The sequence below is a fragment of the Homo sapiens genome, chromosome 17 (genome assembly GCF_000001405.40).
Source record: "Homo sapiens chromosome 17, GRCh38.p14 Primary Assembly".
In the NCBI taxonomy this organism is placed as follows: Eukaryota; Metazoa; Chordata; class Mammalia; order Primates; family Hominidae; genus Homo; species Homo sapiens.
Window position 1 is genome coordinate 78556357 of NC_000017.11, and position 26762 is coordinate 78583118.

A 26762-nucleotide genomic window follows, 5' to 3' on the forward strand; every position below is an offset into this window, starting at 1 on the left:
CCCCTTGAGCCTCCAGAAGGAGGCAGCCCAGCGGATGCCTTGACTCCAGCAGAATGAAACAGATCCAGGACTTCTGACCTCCAGAACTAGAAGGTAGGAAATACGTGCCGTTTAAAGTCACTCAGTTTGTGGTGATTTGTTACAGCAGCAACAGGAAATGAACAGTGTCCAGACTGGCCCTGTTGTACTGTGGCTTGGGGTGGGGTCAAAGTTGTATGGTACAAATGGTCGCCTTTCCCAGGGTATATGAGTGGAATCCATAAGAAATGGTGTCTAGAAGGAGGACAAGCACAGTGACTGCCCGCTGAGCCCCACAGCCACGCTCTCCGGGCCCCTCCTGATTGTACAGGGATGTTTGTAGCAGCTTTATTTGTAAAAGCGAAAACTGAAAACAACCCGAATGCCCATCAACAGAGGAATGGATAATAGTGCTATATCCATGCGACACATTGCCACTCAGCAATAAAATTGACTCACGTTTAAAAAGAAGAAGAATGGTGCTACATGCAACAACATAGATTAACTCAAAATAATTAACCGAGTGAAAGCAGACAGAGAAAACAGAACACGTATGATACCATTGCCCTCCGGTTCCCGACTCGGCTTCCAGGGCCTCGTGCCAGGAAGGAGGTGCCCTCAACAAGCCCTGTGTTGCTGGACGGGACCGCCCCCCACCTCCAACAATTACTGGGAAGTTTTTCCAAAGTCAACCTCTTGATTACTGCGTCAGGTCCCTAGATCAGATGGTGCCAGGAATCAAGGCCAAAAAGGAGTTCTTGAACCAAAGAGCTGAGCAGGGACCGCCACCTCCTAGCCCCTCACACACAGCTTCCTCATGATAATCCTACTCTGGGTTCCAGGAAATGCCCATCCAGTCCTCCCCACATTAACAGAAGTAATGGAAGCAATGTTGAATGACTTTAATATTATCCAAAATTTGTTCAGGAGGGTAAATAGATCTATAAAGAATCATGTAATTGGCCAGGCTTGGGGCCTTATGCCTGTAATCCCAACACTTTGGGAGGCAGAGGCGGGCAAATCACCTAAGGTCAAGAGTTCGAGACCAGCCTGGCCAATGTGGTGAAACTGTGTCTCTACTAAAAATACAAAAATTATTTGTATTTTTACTACCACCAGCTGGGCTTGGTGGTACACGCCTGTAGTCCCAGCTACTCAGGAGGCTGAGCCAGGAGAATCGCTTGAACTTGGGAGGCAGAGGTTACAGTGAGCCTAGATTGTGCCACTGCACTCCAGCCTGGGTGACAGAGTGAGACTGTCTCAAAAAAAAAAAAAAAAAAAAAAAAAAAGTAACGTAAGCCAAAGCCCAGTGGGAATAAGATATTCATCACCAGCTGTTCTGAGTCATCACTATCTTTGCTGCTATTTGCATGAATAATGAAGACTGGCTTGAACCATGTCTAAATATTAAAATACACACTAATTTAATTCTGTTCTGCTTGGAGATCTTACACCAGAAGTTGTTGGGTGACAACAAATGCTGGTGTAAGATCTCCAAGTGGAACAGAACAGGACGGCAGGACAGAGATCTCTGACTCCCTGGCTCAGGAATTTATCCCAAGCACATACACATAGCAGGTACTCAGTAAGTATGCAGTGAATGGAAGAATGAATTTGAGTGAATGGGAAGATTTCCCAGGAAGAGCCACATCTCTGAAACACACAAACAAACTTGACAAAAAACCAAAACAATACAAAGCTGCATCAGGAATAGTACCGACTCACCAACTCACCTCATTATACCAGCCAACGATGAGCTCCAGGTTGCCCACAAACTTCCGGAAAGTTTCGTTCTCTGAGAACAGACTCTCCGCACTGTCTGGAATCTCTTTCTGTTGCTGGAAATTCAAATACTTGACTTCTCTCAGAACTGCCACCAACTAAATGACAAACGAAGATCAAAGAACATGTCAGCAGGTCAGGTCAACAGTGCAGTGTTCAAGCAACAGAAATGAGCATCTGCCCTGGGATGTTTTGACAGCCGGGGGGGATCTCAAAGTTGGTGGGAGGCAGTATTTGTTGGCAGGACCAGGACGTTTTCACCCTGTTGGCTGATCCTGAGCCGGAAAGCACTGACATCACCCTCATGGGTGGATGACATCACCCTCATGGGTGGATGACATCACCCTCATGGGTGGATGACATCACCCTCATGGGTGGATGACATCATCATTGCATGTGTATGACATCATTGTCATCACCACGGGTGGGTGACATTATCCTTATGGGTGGATGATGTCATCATTGTAGGTGGATGATATCATCATCACCATGGGTGGCTGACATCATCCTAATTTTCTTATCTCTGTCCTCTCCTACCTACTACCCACAAGTGGTTTGGAGTAAGACTTCGGGTCTTCACTTGTTTCCTCGCTGGAATCTAACCTTCTGTTTTCTCTCTGCTTTCACCCGGTTATGACCCGAGATCAACAACAGGGACATCCCTTCCAACAGTGCTTCTGTCCACAAAGCTATTCTCAAAGTTGAGATAACCTCCATATTGCTGAATCCACTGGTCACATCACGGGCCTCATCTCATGGGATCGCCCAGCCGCTGGCACTCTTTCCTTCTGGGCACACAGTGTCCTCCTGGCTTCCAGGACACTAGACATTCCTGGTCACCATTATTAGTCTCTTTTGATAATCTCAAGATGTCCATGATGGGGAGCCACAGACCTTGTTCCTTCTCAATTTACCCTCAGTTGAATGAGGTGTGATGTCATCCAACGTTATAGCTGCCTTGACCAGCCAGCCCATTTGTCATCTCCGCTGAATGAGGTAATGAGATGTCCAGTGTTGTGGCTACAAGTACCATCTCTGTGTGGGTGGCTCCCACGTTTATGTCTCCAACCCCAGCCTCTCTCGTGACTTCCAGCCTTCTGTATCCACCCGCCTACTCAGCTCCTCTCTTTGGATGTCCAGGTGACATCTCACACCCAACAAGGCTAAAGCACAGCAGCCCATCCTCCCCTGTGGCCTCTGCCCCACCTGCCCTCTTGGCCAATGGCAATTCTACCTGTCTACTCACCTGACCCTAAAACATTGGGACTGACTCCCCTCTTCCAATCACGCTCCATTTCCAACCTACTAGGAGTCTCCATGGCACTATATTCAAGTCCAGAAGCTCACCACCACCTTCACTGCTGCCACTCTGGTTCCAGCCACCACCTCCCAGCTGTCATCTCTTGCCTGGACTGTGCCAACAGGCTCCCAACTGATTTTCCTGCTCTTTCCTCCAGCCCCAGCTCCGTTCAATCTACGCACCTCACAGCGTGGAGAAGGGTCCTTTACAACTAGAAATCTAATCGCAGCACACCTCTGTCTGACACCCTGCAGGGGCTGCCATCTTGCTCAAACCAAACTCCAAGTCCCTCTGTGGTCCATGGGGCCCTTCCTCGTCACCTCTCATCTCTTCTCCTACGACCTTCCCCTTTGCCCATTCCCCCGCCCCACTGGCCTCCTTGCTGCTCCTGGACTGCACCAGGCTCTCGGGCGCCACCTGGCCTTTTCTTTACCCGCATGCCGTGCTGCAAAGCTGTTCCCTCCATCTCTGCTCAGCGGCACTCTGACCTCCCACAAGTCTCTGCTCACATCTAAAATTGCACCTGCCCCTTCTACCGGCTCTATTGATCTTCTTAACCTGCCCTTCCTGCTCTTCCTTCCGCGGAACCTGTTGCACCTTCTACCATATCATACACTTGACTCCCTCGTGAATGCTAGCTGATCATCCTCCCCGCCCTCCTGCCTGGAGGTAGGCTCTAGGAGGGCAGGACAGACAGCTCTCTGACTGTCTGGATCACTAATTTATCCCAAGCACATACATGTAGTAGGTGCTCAGTAAGTATTTGGTGAACGAAAGAATGAATGTTAGTGAGTGGGAAGATTTCCAAGGAAGAGCCGCATCTCTGGTTTCCCTGCCTTGCCACGTGCAGATTGGGCAGCTCTGGGGCTGTGCTTGTAGGAATTCGGTTCCATCCTCTGCTCATCTGAACTTTCCGGGTTTTAGCCATAGAACCCACATCCCAGAGCCCACAAGTGTGAATTCTCCCCAGTGTGCCTGCCTTGACCAGCCAGTGCATTTATCTAGATTCGGCAAAGACTTTTTCCCCCCCCCCAGTTTCAAATTGTCATTTCTTCTTGGGATCACAGGAACGCTTTCAAGAAGATACTCATTGAAGCTATTGTCAAAGTTGCTTCTGCTTTCCCTCATGTCTTAAATATACCCTGGACACACTTAAGAAGTAAAGCTTTAGGCGAACTGTGATATAAACATCGACCTCCATAAATCCGTGCTGAGGGAACCTTGGCAGGCCCTCCCCCCGCTCCCAAGGAGCCTTTGACGCGGTCCCCACTCCTGGCACCCACCGCTTTGCTGAAGTTGACGTGGATGAGGTTGCTAGCGGCGTCCCGCAGAATCAGCGGCTGCCCCAGGTTAAAGTGGCAGTCCTGGTCCACGCCCGCCACCCACTGCTGGTAGATCTTCTCGCGGTGGCACCTCAGCAGCTCCATCATCTCGTCATACTTCTGATAGGTCAGCTTGGCCTCTGCTCCAGACATGACCCTGGAATCAGAGCGGGAAGGCGAGGCCCCACTGGATATCTCCTGTGGGGTGTCTTCGGCACGTCCCATCGTTGCTGCCCGATCTGGGGTGCCGAAGCGGCCGGCCACCCAATTACTCGAGGCTCACAGACTGAATATGCAAACAAGCAGTGGCCAGACCAAATGTTCAAATGGAACTCCGACCTGCAGTCTGCAGCCACCAGCCCAGGAGGCCAAAATAGAACCCACGCAGCAACTGGCTCCCGACCGCCAGGCCTGGATGAATGACAGCCAGCCCCTCTCCAACTTTCCTTCTCCCTTCCAACCTGGGGCCAACTAGATGAAAGCAAATACGCCCCCCAAACAACCACATAAAAGGCCCCCCTCCTAGTCAGCTGCACCGGCCTCCCCAGGCCAAGCCGGGGCTCCCCTGCAGCCGTCCCTGCGTCCACCGTGAAGCCTCCCCGGCCCCTGGCTGTCCAGGAGACTTGGCCAAGTGCACGCAACAGTGGCTCAGTCAGCTGCATACACAGCCTCTTCCTGTTCCTGCCTGGGTGGTCTTCATGTCTACCAGGCTGGTGGGCAAGGGTGGGGACCAGCCAGATTTCTCCTGAGCACTCCCACCAAGAAGGTGATCAGGGGAGGAGGGAGGACCAGAAGGGGTCTCTTCTGGGCTTTTGCTCTGGGAGGTAACAGTCTGGTCGACAGGAGGGGTGGTCCCGCTCGGGGTTGGGACAGTCCCTCTCGCTCTCCCGCACCATGGAGGCGGGGTGCCTGCCCCTGCCCAGGGCTGTGACTCACGGGTGTTCGACGTGCTTCAGGTGTTTCATGGACACCTCTAGCCTCTCCTGCAGCTCCAGGCTCCATTTGAGCTGCCCGGCCACGGGAGGCATGTTTTTGTGGATCAGGGGGATGTTCCCCTCCTCGGAGGCCGCCATCTGGGCATCGTACAAGATCTTAGCATTGTCTAGCTCAGCGTCAAACAGCTCCAGCATGACTGAATACCTGGGCGCCACCTCGGCAAGAATCAGGGGCCGCTCCATGAGGCCCCCACACATGTACAGGAGCTGAGGACAAAGGAGAAGGGGGCCTCTTCACCACAGTCTCCTCCCCTTCCCCAGCCTGTGGCTGTGGACAAAACGGGCAGGGCCAATCTTCAGGAGTGAGAGAATGTGTACCTTGCCAAAACAAAACAATCCACTGGAACCTTTGTGTGTGTCAACTGGCTCAGTGGAAGCCTCTATGCTTTTCTCATTGACTTAGGCCGAGTCCCCAAATACTTGGCTTATAATCCCACAGTACAAATAAGTCCAAGGGCTACAAGAGTTTTTTCTAAGCCTAGGAAAAATCAGAATTCTGGTAAGGAAGACTTAAACAATTAAAAAATAGGCTGAGCACCATGGCTCACACCTGTTATTCCAACACTTTGAGGGGCCGAGGCGGGAGGGTCACTTGAGCCCAGGAGTTTGAGACCAGCCTGGGCAACACAGCAAAATCCTGTTTCTACAAAAAATAAAAATAAAAAATACAAAGAATACATGAAACTAGCGGGGTCCAGTTTTTGTATTCTTTTGGGTGTGCGCTTATAGTTCCAGCTACTCAGGAGGCTGAGATGGGAGGATTACTTGAGCCCCAGAGGTCAAGGCTGCAGTGAGCCAAGATTGCACCACTGCACCCCAGCCTGGGCAACAGAGCAAGACCCTGTCTCCAGAAAAAACAAACCCAAAACAACTCCAAGTAAACAATTTTAAAATAGCCATAACGTTGCATTTATATACCTGGGCTTCTACTCTGATACAGATAAATGAAGAAATATTTTATCCACAGGAAGCGTTCCTCTTAGGAAGAGCACTGCCACTCTCAAGGGCAGCTGAGGCAAGAAAACCACCATCAGGAAATGTGTTTCGCTCTGAGAAAGCTCTGGGGGTCAGACCAAGTGGGAGGGGGACCAGAGAGAGGGAAGACAACCTCACACGAAACAGGGTCCCCCAGTGCTGGGTGTGAGTGGGAAATCCAAGAGAGTTTCCCGGGGCTGCCATAACCCACGCCCAATGGGGGCCAGACCAGCTGCGGTGAGCCTGAGTCTCAGACTTTCCCCAGACTTGGGTCTGAGAAAGGTGACCACTGTCCCTAGAAATGGCCACAGGAGGAAAAACCAAAACATGACTGCGAAGAGAGGGAGATTTTTCAGGCCCCCAAGAGTACAGATTTCCCAAATGCAAGATTGCGGCTATTTTTAAGTTAATTGTGTTTTTCAAAATTGTTCAAATCTTCCTTACCCAAATTCTGATTTCTCCTGGGCTTAGAAAAAAATTGTCACCCTTGGACCTATTTGTATTGTGAGTTGTACAAATGGAGCAGCCGTGGACTCTCAGGCAGACATGGAAACGCTGGTGTCCTGCCAGCTACCGCCTTCCTCCACGGTCGCCTGCTGACGTATGAGGTCACCAGTTTCATTTGTTCAAAGCATTGACATGGGGCAGTTGGAAAAAAAAAATGTTCCTCTTAATGGTTTATGACTATCCTGTAATGCGGGTAGATGTTTTACTTGGAAGTCAGAAAAATAGAAAAAAACCCCAAAAACCTGAAGACCCATCATCCAGACAACCGACACACCTGTAATCCCAACACTTTGAGGGGCCGAGGCGGGAGGCATTTTTATTTTTCTCTGTCTTCCCATTTCTCTCTCCTCCTTTTCATGTTTATATAGTTTTTAGTTTAATGACTTTTGGAAAGGAAGCGAATTCTATTTTCCGCCAAAAGGAGATCATGTGGAAAATTGCTCTAGAACGTTCCTGGCTGTGTGCGAGTTGCTGATAATGAGAACTAACTCCGGAACAGGCAGGGGCTGGAAGGGACAACAAGGGAGAGAAACCCCAGGGCCCTATCCTATTTAGAGCACAGGGCTGTCAAACCAGGGGGAAAATGTTCTTAGGTCAAAGAGAAACGTGAACAGATGGCGATGGAAATGGGTTACAAGAGTTATTTCTCCCCCTGCCTCCCTCCCCTCCGCTTTTCTTTGTTTTAAATTGAGCATAAACATACGTGAAAATTTTTAAAAAGAGATCTTTCTTTTAGAGCCCAAAAGCCCCTCTTGACCCTAACAGGTGCCAGGGATGCAGGGGAAAGCCTGGGGCGGGGTGACTGCATTTGTTCCTCGCTAGCTCCATTCTGCAGAGGTCGGGTTGGGTTTCTTCCAGGACCTCCTGCTCCTCACAGGGTAGGGGCCTAGGGCTCCCGAGGGGTCACAAAGTTGAACTCGCCAACCCAGCTCCCTCCCCACTGCCGGATCCCCTAGTGAACCCTGGGGGAGGTTCAGCCCAGACCCGTACGCTGGTCCTTATCTGCTCTTCCCCTTGTGCCAAACTAGATGCAGGTGGCACAATCTCCATGTTGGGGACAGCAAGACTCTGGGGACTCATCTGGCCCTGGCCGGGTGACCAAGTTACTTAATTTTTCAGATTTTTCCACATCGGAACAGCAGCAGGGAGTCACAGCACCTCCCCGTGGAGCCAGTGTTAGGGGTGCAGGAGCCACAGAAGCCAGCTGCCCGCCCGCCCAGCCCATAAGCCTGTGCCCCATCTTTAATTTTGGAGACCCAAAAGTGAGGTTTCCAAATGAAAGAATTGGCTCCATTGGGACCCTTCTGCGCTGGGGCAGTCCTGACGCTTTTGTGTTATCCTTCAGGGGCTCCACGTGGAAGGCTTATGCTAGAGCGAAACTACCTCCCAACAACATTCAGAACAACCAGCCTCCCTTGTCAAGAGCCAGTTGTGCACTGCAGGAAATACTCAGAAGCGCCTGCCCTGTGCTAGGCTCAGTTCTAAGGGAACTCAAATCCAGTGCCTGACCTCAGGGAGTTTACCTTCTAGTCAGGAAGACAACGAACACACAGACATTAGTATACAAATGAATATGAGGGAAGGCCATTGCTGAGAAGGGACCAGCCTGGGGGCATTTGAGTGGAAGGAAGGAAGTGAGGACCCTGCAACTAGATGCAGCTACCTGGGGAAGAGCCTTCTGAGAAAGGGAATGTTGCCAGATTCTTTGCTTAGCCAAAGATTCTCATCAGGGTCTCCATCCTCCACCATCCCGCAGGGGATGTCTGATTACCCTAACCTGCTTCCAGCTAGAATCTTGAAGTTGGTTTAGCTAGAATCCCCCAACCCCTGATGTCCCCTCTAAGTAATTTTCTATCCATGGACTCCCACCCTGCTCCTTTGCTAGAAATTCCTACTTACCTGCAGTGTATTCAAAGCTGAGCTCCCATCGCTCTCCCTACACCTGTATCTATTGAGATGGTATAAATCGTGAGTAAGGTCTGAATCAAGTCAGCCTCATCTTGCTTTAGCAAGTATAACTGAATAATTTTTTCAACCACAGCAAGGAGGTGCTGTATTAATTTGCATTCATTGATATTTTGCCTGGAACACCAACTCGATCCAAGACTTACTTGATCCTTAATTTGCGGAGCTTCAAACTCTCATGTATTTGCATTTTTGCAAGAGCATTCAAAAGGGCAAAGGAACATCCTGACGTTTGTCGGGGAGAGATCTTTGTCCTTAGCAATCTCAGCCTTGAAATCCTCCTGAAAGATGACCACCAGCCCAGGCTGCCCAGGCCAACCCAATTGCCTTCACAGTCATGGGAGCTGGTCCGGCTAAACTGTTCAGATCAGGGGCCCTGGAAGCAGTCAAGCCCAGAACTCATGGGCCTGGGAAACATAGCAAAACCTTGTCTCTACAGAAACAAAAAGTAGGCCAGGCGTGGTAGCTCACGCCTGTAATCCCAGCACTTTGGGAGGCTGAGGTGGGCGGATCACCTGAGGTCAGGAGTTCGAGACCAGCCCAACATGGCAAAACCCCATCTCTAGCAAAAATAGAAAAATTAGCCAGGTGTGGTGGCGTATGCCTATAATTCCAGCTACTAGGGAGGCTGAGGCAGGAGAATCGTTTGAACCCGGGAGGCGGAGGTTGCAGTGTGCTGGGATTGTGCCACTACACTCCAGCCTGGGCAACAAGAACAAGACTCCATCTCAAAAAACAAACAAACAACAAAAACAAAACAAAACAAAAAACAAACAAACCCCTTAAAACTAAAAATAGAGACCCCAGAGACCTCCCTTGCCCCTTCTGCCATGTAAGGACCAAATGAAAAGATGGCCTTCTAGGAACGGAAGTAGACCCTCACCAGACACCGAGTCTGCTGGACCTCCCAGCCTCCAGAACTGAGAGAAGTGAAATGTTTGTTGTTTAAGCCACCCGGTCTACAGCAGTTTGTTATAGTAGCCTGCATGGACGAAGGCACTCTATAAATTCAGCTCAGTGGGCCAAAATCTGCATTAATTTTATTTTTACACCAACTTTACCTCTTTAACTTTCACTCCTTTTGAGTAGTGGGAAAACTGAATCAAGAATAAATGGTCCCCTTGTTTCTTAGTGAGCATAAGAAGTATCAGTAAAATAATGCCATCTCACACTCACTTGCTCCTCTTCCTCTAGGATGTGGCAGTAAGAACCATCAGGAGCTACACTGGGTGTTCACGGCTGACTGACTCTGAGGCACAGGAGACGGGCCCTCCCTCCCTGGACATCAGCTCTACATGGAGAGGATGAAATGGTCTCCAAGATCGTTCTCGACATGAATCCACCACCACAGTGCCAGGCTCCAGATCTGCCTGCGTCTCCACTGCATGCTTACCTTTGCGGAGGACTTGATACAGCTGCAGTCATCAAATCCTTGGCAAAAGATCGTGGCCAGCCTCCTATCCAGGTCTTGGATTTTGATCTCAAAATCAGCATAATCACGGTCAAAATTCTAAAAGCAAATGGAAATGTCAACCTTGTAATCAGCGTGCAAAGCAAGCCAAGGGCACCCTCTCCAGCCCCTGCCCTGCTGAGAGGACTCGGGACTGAGGCGCAGCTGAATGTGCTGTTGCGGGGACCGCTCTACACAGTTTTCAAAGTGTTGGGATCACCTGGCACCTGCTTCCTCCGTGTGCCCTCCCATCACACCCCTAAGCTGGTACCGAGGCTGGTGCTGTTCTCACCGAGTCCAGTTCATCCAACCCTGCCCGAGGACCTACCGAGTCTCCAGGGTCCAAGGGATCATATTTGCAGTCGGCAAAAACCTTCACCAGCTCAAAGACCTCATCATAGATACGGGTCACCAGGCTCCCGAGGAGGTTCCCACGCACGCCCCCAAGCTCGATTTTCTCCAGCTTCAGAAACTCAATTGCTGTTTTATAGAGTTCCTAGTGGAGGAGAAAAACACAGTCAATTCATCTTCACAACCCAACTCACGGGTCCAGTTACAAAACTAGCTCTGACCCCAGGCAGGAGGAGCTGGGGAGCAAAATGTCCCCAGGAGACACCAACCATGGGGGTGGGAGGACACCCTCTGTGTCTGTGCTGTTCTTTAAGCAAATATTCCATCCCCTGCAGAAAGAGGGGATGGAAGGAAGGGCTCTGTGAATTATCTATGAGGTGTGAATGAGGAGGAGCTGGAGAGGATAAAGTTTGGGATCCTGTCCTGACCCCAGACTGGCCAAACCGCATCTCTAAATAAATCACACTCTGCTGGGACCTCCGTTTTCTCCGCTGTGGGAAGCGGTTGGAATGGTGCTGAAGATTTCTGATGCTCTTGCTAAGCTTTAAATTCCCCGCTACCTGGAAGACCATCCTATGCAGAGTGCCGTGTCCCGAAGGTGATCCAAGAAGAAAGCGGCTGGAATGCTTGGATGGACACACGTGTAGAAAATTCTGCTTCCTCGCCGGTGTGGCTCATGCCCCCTCTCCCTGAAGCGCTCCCTGACTATTTTGGCCCATAGCAATGCATTCCTTCCCAGGGGCCCGGTCTCCCATCTGCGCCGCTTGTGTTTGCTTTAGTCACGTTCAGGCCCATCCCGTTAGCTGGTTGTGTGTGTGCAGTTCCTGTTTCCCAAATGAGGTCTCCAAGGCTCCCTGGATGCTCTTCTGTGCCCCTGCACCTACCAGGCACAGTGCAGGCAGAGTTTAGACTGGAGATCTTCCTGTGGACTTGACATCACTCCCCTGAACTGGTGCTGAGGTTGGTGCTATTCTCCCAGGTCCACGAAGCATCAGGCCACGCACCAACACCACCCCGAGGAGACAGGCACCGAGGACCAGGAGCTCTTGGCTCTTCCACCCGACGCGGAGGACACAGACAAGCTGGCATGGCCTGTTGTCAGGGGGTGGACAGCAAAGCCATTTCCTCCACCTCCAAAGTCCCTTCCTACCCAGAATCTTCCTTCTGATTCAGAATCAGTCATGTGGGAACCAGAGCTCCTTGGCCCAAAGTGTGACTGTGACTCTCCTCCACATTCTCGGTCTGGGAGATTTCAGGCATTAGTCCGCGCTCTGTGACTGCAATTTTGAACTCCTGAGCGGGCCTCCCTCCCCTGCCCCCCAGGAGGTGTAGAAGAGAACTGGACAAGCCTCTCCCAAGCCTCTGACAATGGTGTCCACCCTTAAGTCAATGCTTTACAGTTCCAGGATGATTTTCCCCTTTTTTAAGGATGTGAGTTATACAGTTATATGTGCACAAAGTTTTTAAAAATTACACCATGCAGAAGATACAAAAGGCAAAACTTTCTTGCCCTACCCCGTCTTGATCCCTCTCATCTCTTCTCTCCAGAGCCCCAGAGAAAACCGCCTTGAAGCTTTTTTTTGAAACAGGGTCTCACTTTGTCGCTCAGGCTGGACTGCAGTGGCGCAATCATGACTCACCACAGCCTCAAACTTCTGAGCTCAAGTGATCCTCCCTCCTCGGCCTGCCAGAGTTCTGGGATTACAGGTGTGAGCCACTGGGCTGGGCCATGCACCATTTTTAAGTTTTTATCTGCTGTGCGTCACTCCGTGTATCCACATGGTGCTTGCACGGGGGCCTTCATAAGTCTCCATTTGTAATAATTGAGTCCCACTAAGTGACTGCTGTTGGCCCCCAGGCGTCCTGAACGTGGGGGTTTAACTTATCAGTAACCCGCTCATGATAGGATGCACGAGATAAGGGGAGAAGCACCCGAAGTGGGTCATTTTTATTCTTGGCTAACAGCTCTGGCCACGGCAGATGCTGCCGCAAAGCCTTGGTTTCCTCATAACAGATATTTGGGCCTCACTTATTTTCTGCCTGGGGGATTATTGGCAAGGGGGGTAGGGATGGACGCTGCAGGTGTCCTAGGGTAGGAGCAGTCTGGGAAGTGGAGGTCAAGATGCACCGAGTTCTGTTTTTACCTCAATGGTCTGGATGCGCTGGAAGAAGGAATTTATCCTGGAAAAGGCAAGAGAAGAAGGGAATTCCCAAGGCACGGGCTCTTTGTCCTTAGAGGAGAGAAAGAGAGATGAGGCCACGTTTGCTTCAAATGTCCCAAGTTTATCAAATATCGGGGCTCATATGAACTCACTCGTCCTGCCTTGGCCCTCGCCCTGCGAGGAAGGGGTACCTTAAAGAAAAGCTTCATGTTCACGCAGCAGAAGTCGTACGTCTGGTAGAGCTCCTTCAGCACATTTACAGCCAGGGAGATGCCACTCAGGACTTCCTCGATTTCACCTTGCAGGCCCTTCAGCACCTCTTCCGGGCTCAGGAAGGTTCGTGTCTGGGCAAAAGAGAAGACAGACATCTAAAGCTCCGACAAGCCATTTGGGGTGACGTCCAGGCACGCCGCCTGCAGGACCTGTGATCTGTTCTGACATATGGATATCTGAAAATAACCCCTCCTATCTGCCCACTGCTGGGCCGTTTTTAGGGGACCGAGCTGCTTCCCCTCCTCGGCCCCTCATCCTTTGCCAAGGCTGCAGCATAAATGGGTGGGGGTCGCAGATGATGAGAGGCCCTCCAGGGACAGGGGACCCCGGTGCCCTTCTGGTCCTGCAGACGGGGCCACAGCATGGTTTTATTATATAGAGGTGGCCCAGGGATACAGCCCTTCAGCTCGAACGCCATGGCTGGCTAGCAGGTGCTTATGAATGGGAAGAAGGAAAAGAAGTCTCTGCTAAGGGAGACGGAAGGTGGTTTGATGTGCGATTAGAGAAGCCCACAAAGCACTAGATGGGTCTCGGGGTACGGGGACTCTCAGGGCAGACCTCCTCCTCTGTCCCCGTCTTCCCTTTCTTTTCCCTCAGTACCCTCCCCTAGAAGAACTCTAGGTAGCCTTGAAGAGGGCTCCATCTCAGCTCGGGGCCTGAAAAGGCTTGTGCTGACATCTTGGCCTGCTTTCAAACTGCTGGGGAACATGGGCAGCAGGAAAACAGTGAACCGGGGAGGGGACCCAGCCAGGAGGGGAGGAAGGGGACCCAGGGGCCAGGGGAGGGTTACCATCTCGATGATTTGGTTGCAGAACTCCTGCAGGATGACGATGATCCTGGCAGGTGTGTTATAGTACTCAGAGGTGGCCCAGATGAAGCAGATGGTGTCCAGCACCTTGGCAATGAAGGTGGGGAGCTGGGGGGAGACAGGCCCAGGCACACTGGAGGGGACTGGCCGCTGCACCTTATCCCGGTGTCCCAGCCCTTCCCTTCCCATGGCTCTCACTGGGTATCCAGCAGAGGGTTCCCAAAGAGGAGGGGAGAGGCAACTCCCTAGGCCCACACATCTGATGGCAGCCAAGAAACCCACGGCCCCACATGCCTTGAAGAAACAAGACCCAGGCCGGGCGTGGTGGCTCACGCCTGTAATCCCAGCACTTTGGGAGGCCGAGGTGGGCGGATCATGAGGTCAGGAGATCGAGACCATCCTGGCCAACATAATGAAACCCCATCTCTACTAAAAATACAAAAATTAGCTGGGCATGGTGGCACATGCCTGTAATCCCAGCTACTCGGGAGGCAGAGGCAGGAGAATCCCTTGAACCAGGGAGTTGGAGGTTGCAGTGAGCCGAGATCGCGCCACAGCACTCTAGCCTGGTGACAGAGCGAGACTCCCTCTCAAAAAAAAAAAAAAAAAAAAAAGAAAAAAGAAAAGAAAAGAAAAGAAACAAGACCCTCCCCACCAAAGCCGGCTCTCCCTTGCCTGCGCACCATCGTGAAGTCGGCTTGTTCCATCTCCTCCAGCAGGATCCGTAGGGGCTTCAAATAGAGCACGATGTCGTTGGCTTCCTTCAGCCCTGCACGGAACAAGAACAAGTGCCCACCGGTAAGAGAGCAGAAATTGCTCAGAAACGATGAGGGTGCGGCTCCATGTGCTGAGACCTGCTCCTTCAGGAAATGGGGCCTTTCTCAAGTGGAGGGGGCTGAGAAAGCTGCTCGCAGAGGGAGGCCAACATCCTAGGGTTGGTGACAAGTCTGACCCAGCCCTCCCAGGAGGCACAAACAGCTTCGTGCAGAACTCATGACAGGGTCACAGGCTCACCTTCAGTGACGTTGGTGTAAACGTTTTGCAGGGCTGGCCAGTAGCAGCTTTTGGCTTTCTCTAGGATCTCAACAATCTTGTTCACTTTGGGTCTGTTTAGCTGAGAAGGGGAGTGAAGATCCACCTTTCATTGACCTGGAAGACCCTAAGGCGAGGCCAACCTGACCTTGTGGCTGGCTGGAGCTGCAGAATTTACGCAGGTCATCAGAGCCCTCAGGACTCCTGGGAGGTTGGCACTGGGAGGCGGAGAGCTCGGCCCGGTCGCCCAGCTGGGACGAGGCTGCAGCCCCACAGGAGAGAGGAGGCCGTACCTGTTCATGGATGCACTTGAGGTTCAGCAGCCGAGTGTCCCAGAACTCGAACTCCACTTGGGGCAGGGGGTGCAGCCCATCCAGCAGCGCCTGGGCTGAGTCTTTGCTCAGCACATCCCGGATCTGGTGGGACCAGTCGATGATGGTGGTTTCAATGGCGTGCAGGAGCAAGTTGTCCAGTGAAGAGGGGATCCTGCCCAGTGGAAGGTTGGGGCATTGCTCTCATGGCGACACACACGTGGGTCCCACCAAGCTCTCCCATGAATCCTTCTGCCCACCAATCCCAAACCACCAGCAGCAGCACCGTCTGGTCTCATGTCCCTGGTGCCTCCAGCCACCTCGGGGACGCTAAAGAAGTTCCCAAGACTCCCAGCTAGGAAGAGAGCCCAGGGAAATAATGGGCGTGGTCAGAGATACCAGGGCCTGGAGGCGCTCACCTCCAAGGAAGCGGGAGAGAATTAAGTAAACCCTATTTAAACCCTATTCAAGATGGCTCCCCTGGTGTCACCACCGGACATGGTGCTTGGGGCTTTGTGAATGATCAGTGGAGGACTTGCCCACGTGAGGCAAAATACGGAACTAATTGTCACGGGGGTCTCACATATCAGGGCGGTTGCAAATTGTGGCAAGGCAGGTGCGAGGGGACACCTTGGAGTCCCTTGGGCTTCCCAGGGCCTCTGGGGGCACCGCAGCCTCTACACAGACTTGCATGTACCTGCTGAGAGTCCCTCCCACTCCCACTCACTGACCCTGTCCCACATCTTAAAGCTGTGCCTCCTGTTTCCTGGCCATGCTGACAGGTGGGACACCTTCTGCTTGCTGGGTGGTGACTGGATCGGCACACATGTGTGACCCAGCGGGGGGTGTGGGGTGCAGGTGCCAGAGCCCCAGGGGCTGCAGAGCCTGCTCCCTCCCTGCCCTGGTTTCAACTTCCTCAGTCTCAGCACCACCTAACGCACCACCTTGCCCTGCATTTCCCCGGCTTTAACATGTGAAGCCACTCTGCAGGGAAACAACGGGTCGGAGTGGGGTGGAGTGGGGTGGGGGGTGGGGGTCAAGCATGTGCCTCTTCCCCACCCAGCGGCAGCCGGAAGCAGCTGGGCCCACACACCTCTCCATGGACTCCAGCGTGCCATCCAGGCTGCCCAGGTGCTCCGGAATAGGCAGCAAGGTTTTGCCTTTGATCTTGCCACTCATCACAAACATTTCATTCTTCAGCCTGTGGACCTGCTTCACGATGTCTTCCGAGACCACCTGGGGCCATCCAGCCATGTTCTCACTTTGGTTTAACAGAGAAGAGAGGACCTAAAAGGAAACACTTCTGTGGTTCCGCCCCCTGTGCCTTCACCAGCTCGGCAACCGCACAGAGCCAGGTCCCCGGGGGGTTCCAAAGACCCGGTGTCTGGAGCCCTGGGAAAACTGGGTCCCGCACAGAGCCAGGTCCCCAGGGGGATTCCAAAGACCTGGTGTCTGGAGCCCTGGGAAAACTGGATCCTTCTTCCAGAAGGAGGTGTGGCCGGTCATGGAGTTTATACCAGCTGCCCTGTCCTGGTGGTACCAAAGCCATCCCCAAGCTCTTGCACCCATAGCACACACTCCTTGCTAAAAGCCTAGGAGGACTGTGATGGGTCAAACTGTGTCCCCCAAATCCATCTGCTGAAGCCCTAACTCCCAGCACCTTAGAATGTGACTATTTGGAGATAGGGTCTTTAAAGAGGTGAGTAAGGGCTGGGGGCGGTAGCTCATACCTGTAAATCCTAGGACTTAGGGAGGCCGAGGCAGGTACATCACCTGAGGTCAAGAGTTTGAGACCAGCCTGGCCAACATGGTGAAACCTCGTCTCTACTGAAAATATAAAAATTAGCCAGGCATGGTGGCACCTGCCTATAATCCCAGCTATTTGGGAGGCTGAGGCAAGAGAATCATTTGAACCTGGGAGGTGGAGGTTGCAGTGAGCTGAGATCACACCATTGCCCTCCAGACTGGACAACAGAGCAAAAATACTGTCAAAAAAAAAAAAAAAGAGGTGAGTAATTAAAATCAGATTACTAGGGTGGGCCCTAGTCTGACAGGTGTCCTTACGAGGAGGGGAGATTAGACATGCACAGAAGGCCGACCACATGAGGACCCAGGGAGAAGATGTCCATCTGCAAGTCAAGGAGAGAGGCCTTGGGGAAAACCAACCCCGCCGACACCTTCAACTTCAACCTCTAGCCTCCAGGACTGTGAGAAAATGTCTGGTGTACAAGCGAAGCACACAGGCCCCTGTACTGCAGATGAGAAGAGTGATGACCAGGAAGGATAAGGCACCCCCATTCTGGAGGTCCGAATCCCCAAAGTGTGTCCCCCCCACCTACACAGCACCTGCCAAGGGGGACAGCAGAGGGACACATAAAATGACACTCCATTTTTTCCCCTTTCTTAAGTCAAAGTCTCAAAATTGGAGAAACCTATCTGCCAGTACTCAGTCCCCACCTTCCCAGGCCATGGGCAGCAACCGTACCCGGCACAGCATGGCAGTCTCAATGCTGTCCAGAGAGAACAAGGGGATGCTCGGGGCTTCTCAGACTTCAAGGGCACGAGCACCACCTGGAGGTCTTGTTAGACAGCAGGTCTGTGGCCGGGCATGATGGCTCACGCCTATAATCCCAACAGTTTGGGAGGTTGAGGCAGGAGGATCGCTTGAGCCCAGGAGTCTTGAGACCAGCCTGGGCAACAGGCTATTTTTTGGTGAGACCTCATCTCTTACCAAAAAATACGAAAATTAGCCAGGTGTGGTGGTGCATGCCTGTGGTCCCAGCTACTCAGGAGGCTGAGGCTGGAGGATTGGTTGAGCTTAGGAGGTTGAGGCTGCAGTGAGCTGTGCTCCCACCACTGCACTCCAGCCTGGGAAGCAGAGTGAGACCCTGTCTCAAAAAAAAAAAAAAATTTAAAAACCAAAAGCAAGCAGGTCTGTCTCAGCAGGTCAGGGTGGACGGGGCCCGAGCGCCTGCATTTCCAATCCCTCCCCGGCTCTGCAGCTGCTGCTGGCCCAGGGACTCCAGGCTGAGCAGCAGGACTCAAGGCCGCTCCCGAGAAGTCGGTCGTGCTCGACACCCCGGATGGCAGCCTGGACGCACTCACCTCCTCCACCACCGCGATCAGCTGGTCCACGGGTGTGGGGCTGATGTCGCCGTAAAGGAGCCGGGCCCTGTAGTTGTCCTTGTTGATGTTCTCGGACTTTGTCTTGATGAAGTAAACCCCTTTGGACTTGAGGGACTGGGGGAAGCCCAGGCAGGGTATGATCATGCCGGCTGCATTGAGCGTCAGCACCAGCACCTGGACGTCGGGCTTTTCAAAGAACTCTGTGAACAGGGCCACGTTCTCCTCGGCGCCTATCAGCTTGCTCCACTTGTCCGGCTTGAACTTCAGGACGATGGAGGCAACTTCCTCCAGATACTCTAGTCTGACGTCCGGGGCCATTGTCATCTTGGCCTTTCCTTACACTGTGTATCTGTTAAGAGTGCAAGAAACAGGTACGAACTGTCTCCCGGGCTCCCCAATTTCCCACCCATCCCTGGCACCGCAGGAAATCTCTGTTTCTACCGGAGCAGGAACAAAACAGTTGGTCGAGAGTGTGCAGTTTTTAGCTGTGGTTGGGTTGGGGTGGGGGTGCTTTAGCAGGTGCTGGCACCTGCCCCGGCCCCGCCATGGGGGGTGCCCCGGGAGTGAGGCTGCCCAAAAGTGGTGTGTGCTTACAATCCTGTGACCATAAAGTTCAGAGGATGGGAAAGATAGAGATGAATGCTGGAGAAAGAGAGAAAAGGAAATGGCCGCAACCAGACAGTGTGAAGGGGATGGGGTAGGAAAAGGCAGAACAAGAGGCTGGGGGGTCAGGTTGAAAGGTCCTGGGAAAGCAATAAAAGACGTCGCAGCCCCAGAGTATGTGTGAAACGCAAGAAGGAAGCAGACCCCACGTGCAGGCCGTGAGGCTCAGCGCTCAGTCTTAGCCGCAGCCGTGGTGCACCTTAACTTTCACTCTGCTCTGCACCCTTTCTCCCTCCAGCCCCCAGCGTGCACCCCTAAAAGAATCGAGCTGCAAATTCCTGACAGACCCCTCACAAGCTGCTCAGATGCTCGGGGGTAGGGTTAACTAGAGAATTGGGGGGAAGGGATCCCCTTAAAGAACACCCTGAAGTCCCAAAGTTTAGGCAAGTGAGGTACTTACAGAATTTAAAGACACACCCAAACAGTCATCAAGAGAAAAGGCATGTCAATATTTTTAAACATCAAAATGAATGCAAACAAATTTATGAACAAAATACCAAAGTTTCAAATAAAGACAGGCTCTGGCAAGAGGCCTGAGGTGGGGGCCTTGGAGGCGAGTTCTGCAAGGGCAGGGTTGAATGCAAAGGGTCGCCTGATGCTGTGTTTTCATCACAATCTGGGAGGTATGCAGCTCCTGAATTTCAAGGGGAACCCTGGGGTATTCAGCTGCTCTGGGGGTCCGTGGGCTGGGGCTGGCCTGCTCCAGACCTGGCAGCTGCTGAAAAGCATCAGGGTGGACAGATGACGTTGGAAGCACTCACAAATTCTGCCTTTTGGTTTGACCCAAGCTATTGCTTTTAAGTTTGTAACAGCCTACAGTTCCCCAAAAGACACGTAATACCACGGAACAGGTTTATTTCACCCTGGCCACTATATATCGGCAAAACAACTATATGATGGGAAGCAGTAGTGGATAGCATTTGGATGCTATTCAAATGGTCTGAGATTTATTCAAGGCTCCAAACATCTCTGAGAGAGGACTTGGGGAATATTTGGCCAGCAAATGGCAGAAACATGGCGGTCCACGAGCAAAGCCACCCGATTCAGGCACATCTGTGAAAGAAAAAGGGGACACCACCAGGCAAGTAGGAGGAGCACCGCGTGGCATTTATGGAGATGACTCGTTCACCAGGTTCCCACAGGGCTTTCAGCATGCTGCTGAATTAATCTCCACCCAGGATCTCCGAGACCCGGGGACGCGTCACGTCGTCATTTCCTAGGGGGATCAGGAACTCAGGGGAGCCCGAGTCCTGGAAGGTTCCTGATTGGAAGTCTCGCCAAGCTGGTCAGGCGACTGGACTGGAGGGAAACATCCTCTGGTTTACTGATTTTGTGGATTTGGGCTTTCACAAAGTCATCTTTTCTTCCAAGAACGGCATGGGGTGGGCTGCCTCCCAAGCCATAACATGTGTGGGCTGAGGGGCCCCTACACCCCGCAAGTTTCTTGCACGATCGGGAGGTCTCATCTCAGGCTCCCACCCAGCCGTTTCCTGGGCTGAAGGCCAGGAGGTCCCAGTTAACAATAGGGTTGTCCCAGGCCATGCTTCCGGAGGGGCAGAGACGGCTTCTCTGGGAGGTGGCCCATGCCCCAGGCCTTCAGGACTCCACAGGAGGAAGCTGGGGCTAGGGGCTTCCAGGAGAAGCCAGGGGGCTGAGGCAAGGCCTTCCCAGGAGCAGGGAAGAGTCTGGAGCCCTGGAAGGGGTCAGGCTGGTACGTGGCAGCCAGCCTCGGGGTCCCAGAGCCATGAACAGCTCCCGGTGGCGAGCAGAGCCACTTCTGGGGTAAGTGGAGGGTCTGCTGTCTGCCAGGGCCTAGGTCCCACCTCCATCCTCTGAAGGCCTCCCTGCTCCCTCCACCTTGGCCTCCGACTCCCCCAGCATGGTTGAAGGCCGCTCACCAGCTGAAGGCAAACAGCTTCTCCCGCAAACTGATGAGCAACTCTTTCCCAAACCAGGAAAGAAAATGGCTCCCTTCCCTCGAGGGGCTCCAACTGCCACATAACTTCTGGGAGTCTCCTCACGGTACCTGGGGCTTCTAGAACCTTCCCCTTGGGACCCAAGTAACCAATGATAGCGCAGCAAATGAGGAACCAACCGTCACCCCACAGTGGAAAGGCTCTTAGATGATCATTTTGAGGGGAGGTTGGAGGGGGGACAGGGTCGCGCTCTGTTACCCAGGCTGGAGTGCAGTGGTACAATCATAACTCACTGCAGCCTCAAACTCCTGGGCTTACGTGATCCCCCCCCCTCAGCCTCCTGAGAAGTTAGGACAACAGACGCACATCACCACACCTGGCTAATTTTTGTACTTTTTGTAGAGATGAGGTCTCACTCTGTTGCCCAGGCTGGTCTCAAACTCCTGGCCTCAAGCAATCCTCCCAAAGTGGAAAGGAAGACATTATCTCTGTTTACAATAAGGTGATCTTGTATGTAGAAAATCCCAAGAAATCCATAAAATTGTAGAGCTAATAGAGGAATTCAGCAAGTTTGCAGTATACAAGATATTTGAAAATTAATTATATTTCTCTGTAATTATATTATGAACAATCTGATGATGAAATTTAGAAAACAATTGTCCCCATAATGAACAATCTGATCATGAAATTTAGAAAACAACTCCCATTTACAACAGCATCAAAATAATTTCGTTTACAATAGCGTCAAAAACAACAAAATACTTAGGAATAAACTTTAAAAAGAAGTGTTAAGACTTGTACACTGAAAACTGCAAAACATCATGGAAATAAAGACAACCTAAATCAATGGAAGGACATGCTGTGTTCATGGGTTAGAAGATTGTTAAGACGGGCCAGGCGTGATGGCTCACGCCTGTAATCCCAGCACTTTGGGAGGCCAAGGCGGGTGGATCACGAGGTCAGGAGATCGAGACCATCCTGGCTAACACGGTGAAACCCCATCTCTACTAAAAATACAAAAAAATTAGCCGGGCGTGGTGGTGGGTGCCTGTAGTTCCAGCTACTCAGGAGGCTGAGGCAGGAGAATGGCATGTACCTGGGAGGCGGAGCTTGCAGTGAGCCGAGATCCCGCCATTGCCCTCCAGCCTGGGAGACAGAGTGAGACTCCGTCTCAAAAAAAAAAAAAAAAGAAGATTGTTAAGATGACGACAGTTCTCCTCAAGTTGATCTGCAGATTCAACACAATCCTTATCAAACTCTCAGCTGCCTTTTTTGTAGAAATGACCCTAGATTTTATAGGGAAGTATGAGGGAACAAAAACCATCCAAACAACTTTGAAAAAGAACAAAGTCTGAAGACACACACTTCCTGATTTCAAAACTCACTACAAAGCTACAGTTATCAAGACAGTGCTACCAGCATAACAATAGACAGAGATCACTAGAATAGAATTGAGGTTCCAGAAATAAATGCATCCATTTATGGACGATTGAGTTAGCAAAGGTGCCAAGACAACTCAATGGGAAAAGAATCACCTTTTCAACAAATGGTATTGGAATAACTGAATACCCACATGCGGAAAAACGAAGCTGGGCCCTTACCTCACGCCATCTACACGAATTAACTCAGCATAGATTAACAGAATGCAAGAGCCAAATGTAAGAGCTAAAACTATAAAACTCTTAGAAGAGCACACAGGAGTTGATCTGACCTCAGATGAGGCAATGATGTCTTACATATGATGCCAAAAGCATAAGTGAGCAAAGGAAAAAAGATAAGTTTAACTTCATCAAAACCAAAAACTTTTATGCTTCAAAAGGCACCCTAAAAAAGGGAAAAGATGACCCATAGAATGGGAGAAAATATTTGCAAATCATATATCTGACAAGGGACTTGTCGTAATACAATAAAACAACCTAATTTTAAGGAGTAAAGGATATAGATATTTCTTCAAGAAAGATACACAAATGACCAGTATGCACATGGAAAGCAGCTTGATATCATTAGCCATTAGGAAAATGCAAATCAAAGTAAAATGAACTTCAATGAGGTCCCTAGAGTAGTCAAATTCATTAAGTAGAATGGAGGTTGCCAAGGGCTAGGGAGGGAGAATAGGAATTTATTTTTTAATGGGGCCGTCAGAGGCATTTGAACCAGAGCCACTCCATTTTGAATGGGGTCTGGGTAAAATAAGGCCCTACTGCATTCCCAGGAGGTGAAGGCATTCTTAGTCACAGGGTGAGACGGGGGTTCAGCACAAGTCATAAAGAGCTTGCTGATAAAACAGGTTGCGGTAAAGAAGCTGGCCAAAGCCCACCAAAACCAAGATGACCTCTGGTGGTCCTCACTGCTACACTCCCACCAGCACCGTAACAGTTTGCAAATGCCATGGCAATGTCAGGAAGTTACCCTAGATGGTCTAAAAAGGGGAGGCATGAATAATCCACCCCTTGTTTAGCATATCCTCAAGAAATAACCATAAAAATGGGCAACCAGCAGCCCTCAGGCTGCTCTGCCTATGGAGTTGCCATTCTTTCATTCCTTTACTTTCTTAATAAACTTGTTTCACTTTACTCTATGGACTCACCCTGAATTTCTTCTTGCACGAGATCCAAGAACCCTCTCTTGGGGTCTGGATCTGGACCCCTTTCTGGTAACAGGGTCAGAGTTTCAATTTGGGATAGTGAAGAAGTTCTAGAGATGGATGGTGGTGGTGTTTTTACAACGATGTAAGTGTACTCAGTGCCACGGAACTGTACACTTAAAATGGCTAAAATGGTAAATGTTATGCTCTGTGTATTTTCCCACACAAAAAAACCCCAATTCATTCCCACTAGAATGGATAAAATTGAGAAGACAGAAAAAAACAAAACAAAACACCAGGCACGGGCAAGGATGTGAAGGAATTGGCACCCTCATCCACGGCTGATATGGTATAAACATTGCAGCCACTTTGGAAAAGTGACAGTTCCCCAAAAGGTTAAACATGGGGCTACCAATTAGCTACCCCCTCCTAGGGGTGCACCAGGGAGAAATCAAAACACACACATATTCGCAGCAGCATTCTTCATAATAAACTAAAAGTAGAGGTGAAGGAAGACCTCTGTCCCGGCTCAGAGGGACATGGGAGGGGTGGCAGGGTCCTGTCCCCGGTGGGCTGAGGGCAGCCACATTGGCAGCAGGGTGCCCGGCAGCATCCCTGCCATGTGAGGATAGGAAGGCCACCCTCGGGCTCTCCAGAAGCTACCAGGGAAGGGCAATGAACGGAACAGACTTTGTACAATCTTAGGGTGTGTCCACCACAGAAGTTGGCACTGTCCCACACCAACATCCAGGAGCAAAATCAGTGCCACTAAACCGTCACTTCAGTTCTGCATATCACCCCAGAGCTCCCAGACACAGGGGTACTCAGCAAGCCCCCACAAATTCCAGCTGTCTGCCACTTGAGCTAGTAACCAGGCCCCTCTGGAGACGTCAGCTTCCTCGGCCACAGTTCTGAGGATGAGTATCCCTGAGCCATGGGGCGTTAGGGGCAAGAAGGGCATTCCTGGTTCCAGAAACACATGGTGCTTATTGCAAAGGAGAGCTGGCCAGCTCATGCCCACATTGGCCTAAGAAGAGTCCTGGCTACCGTTTTCTGAGCGATCACCGGGTGGCAGGTTCTACACTTCATGAGCCTCCTGGAAGGCACAGGAGCTCCATCCTTCTTCAGCTTCTGCCTGTGGCCCTGCCCTCGACCCTGGGATGTCACCTCCTTCCCCCTGGGGAGGTAGCAGCTTCCTGCTGCTGATCTCTGGGTCACCTCCCAGTCCCGCTGGGCTCCTCAGCTCTCCTGTCGTGTGCAACACAGCCTCTCCGGCTTGAGTACCCACGTGGTTCTCCTCCATGTTCTGCTTAGATACTGTCGCAGTTTCTTGTGGCTGCTATCAAAGCACCACAACCTTAGGCGGCTAAGACAACAAAAAGTTCTCTCTCCCGGGGGCTGAGGTCTGAATCAAGGTGTCGGGCAGAGCTGTGCTCCCTCCGCAGCTCTGGGAGACTTCTTGGCCTTTTCCAGCCTTTGGTGGCCGCCATCAAGCAGTCCTCGGCATTCCTGGCCTGTGGCTGCATCCCTCCCATCATTGCCTCTGTCCTCACACAGCCAGCTCTGTGTGTGTTGGGAGCAATCTCCCTTTGTCTCTCTCTTACAAGGACCCCTGGGAGGGCATTTAGGTTCTCCCCACGTAATCCAGGATTACATCATCATCTCCAGATTCTTAATCACATCTGCAAAGGCCCTTTTTCCAAATAGGGTAGCATTCATATGCTGAAGCTTTAACCCCCAACATGGCTGTATCTGAGATGGGGTCCTTAGGAGGTAAAGTCAAATGAGGTCATTAGAGAGGGGCTATAATTCAGTGGGATTTTAAGAAGAGAAAGAGCAGCTGGGAATGGTGGCTCACGCCTGTAATCCCAGCAGTGTGGGAGGCCCAGGTGGGTGGATTACCTGAGGTCAGGAGTTCAAGACCAGCCTGACCAACATGGTAAAACCTCGTCTCTACTAAAAATACAAAAAAAAAAAAAAAAAATAGCTGGGCATGGTGGCAGGTGCCTGTAATCCCAGCTACTAGAGAGGCTGAGGCAGAAGAGTCGCTTGAACCCTGCAGGCAGAGGTTGCAGTGAGCTGAGATCATGCCATTGCACTACAGCTTGGGCCACAGAGCCAGACTCCATCTCAAAAAATAATAACAACAAAAGAGAGATCTCTTTCTCTCTCCACCCTGCGAGGACACAGCAAGAAGTCAGAGTCTATAACCCAGGTGAGGGTCCTCACCAGAACCCAACCATGCTGGTCCCTGATCTCCGACTTCCAGCCTCAAGAACTGTGAGAACATGAATCTCCGCTCTTTAAACCTCCCAGTCTGTGCCAGCACATAGTTCATTTTACCCATCAGCTGGAACAGCCATGGTGCCCAGATTAAGCATTAATTCTGGGTGTGTCTGTGAGGGGGTTTCTGGATGAGCCTGGCATTTGATAGTGAACTTGGTAGATTGCCCTCCCCAGTGGGCAGGCATCCCCTAATTCTTCAAGGTCTTGAATAGAACCAAAAGCAGAAAGAGAAATTCACCCATCTGCTCCTGCCTTTGTGTCTGGGCTGAGACATCTCATCTTCTCTTGCCCTTGGGCTGCTGTTGACACCATCAGCGCCCCTGCTTCCCAGGCCTTCAGACTTGGACTAAACTACACTGTGGGCTTTCCTGGTTCTCCAGTTTGCAGACAGCAGAGTGGGACTTCTCAGCCTTCATAATCACGTGAGCCAATCCTCATGAAACTGCTGTCCCTCTATCTTGCCTATTGGTTCTGCTTCCCTGGAGGGCACTGATACGCGTATATGATATACAGCATGAGCAGTCCAATCCTTTCCTCATCTGTCTCCAACCTCTTCTATCATCTTTCAAACAGCTCAAGTCACTACCATCTTGGAAAAAGCAATCCTGTTCAAGCTCTTCGCCCTCTCCATCTCTACGCCTCTTCACTGCCACATTTCTCTAAAGAATGGCCTGGCCAGGCAGGGTGGCTCACACTTGTAATCCCAGCACTTTGGGAGGCCAAGGCAAGTGGATCACAAGGTCAGGAGTTCGAGACCAGCCTGGCCAATATGGTGAAGCCCTGTCTCTACTAAAAATACAAAAAATTAGCCGGGCATGGTGGCACGCACCTGTAGTCCCAGCTACTCGGGAGGCTGAGGCAGGAGAATCACCTGAATCTGGGAAACAGAGATTACAGTGAGCCGAGATCACACCATTGCACTCCAGCCTGGGTGAG

The 26762-nt window shown here is 51.4% G+C and overlaps 1 protein-coding gene across 5 annotated transcripts in view, besides 2 other annotated features; it reads right to left on the reverse strand.

Annotated features, from left to right (window-relative positions):
• Window positions 1-21040, reverse strand: part of DNAH17 (dynein axonemal heavy chain 17) — a 153700-nt gene extending 132660 nt beyond the window's left edge. For all 5 annotated transcript variants that reach the window (XM_024451013.2, NM_173628.4, XM_011525416.3 and 2 more), the window contains exons 1-14: window positions 20939-21040; window positions 18357-18726; window positions 16345-16538; window positions 15234-15426; window positions 14923-15022; window positions 14592-14677; window positions 13891-14016; window positions 13019-13171; window positions 12810-12896; window positions 10643-10810; window positions 10258-10374; window positions 5359-5624; window positions 4384-4579; window positions 1752-1898 (exon numbers count right to left, since the gene is read on the reverse strand). In XM_024451013.2, the coding sequence (XP_024306781.1) occupies window positions 1752-1898; window positions 4384-4579; window positions 5359-5624; window positions 10258-10374; window positions 10643-10810; window positions 12810-12896; window positions 13019-13171; window positions 13891-14016; window positions 14592-14677; window positions 14923-15022; window positions 15234-15426; window positions 16345-16538; window positions 18357-18701 (2178 nt within the window). In that variant the 5' untranslated portion in view covers window positions 18702-18726; window positions 20939-21040. The remainder of the gene's footprint in view (window positions 1-1751; window positions 1899-4383; window positions 4580-5358; window positions 5625-10257; window positions 10375-10642; window positions 10811-12809; window positions 12897-13018; window positions 13172-13890; window positions 14017-14591; window positions 14678-14922; window positions 15023-15233; window positions 15427-16344; window positions 16539-18356; window positions 18727-20938) is intronic.
• Window positions 1571-2770: an enhancer, noted in NCBI's record as "BRD4-independent group 4 enhancer chr17:76554009-76555208 (GRCh37/hg19 assembly coordinates)". NCBI's record gives its function as "activates an origin of replication core promoter dependent on BRD2, P300/CBP, MED14 and CDK7 cofactors, and independent of BRD4, by STARR-seq in HCT116 cells {active_cell/tissue: HCT116}" and the evidence as "EXISTENCE:reporter gene assay evidence [ECO:0000049][PMID:35650434]".
• Window positions 24441-24942: an enhancer, noted in NCBI's record as "H3K4me1 hESC enhancer chr17:76576879-76577380 (GRCh37/hg19 assembly coordinates)". NCBI's record gives its function as "activates a minimal SCP1, AML or CMV promoter by ChIP-STARR-seq in naive H9 embryonic stem cells {active_cell/tissue: H9 hESC(naive)}" and the evidence as "EXISTENCE:reporter gene assay evidence [ECO:0000049][PMID:30033119]".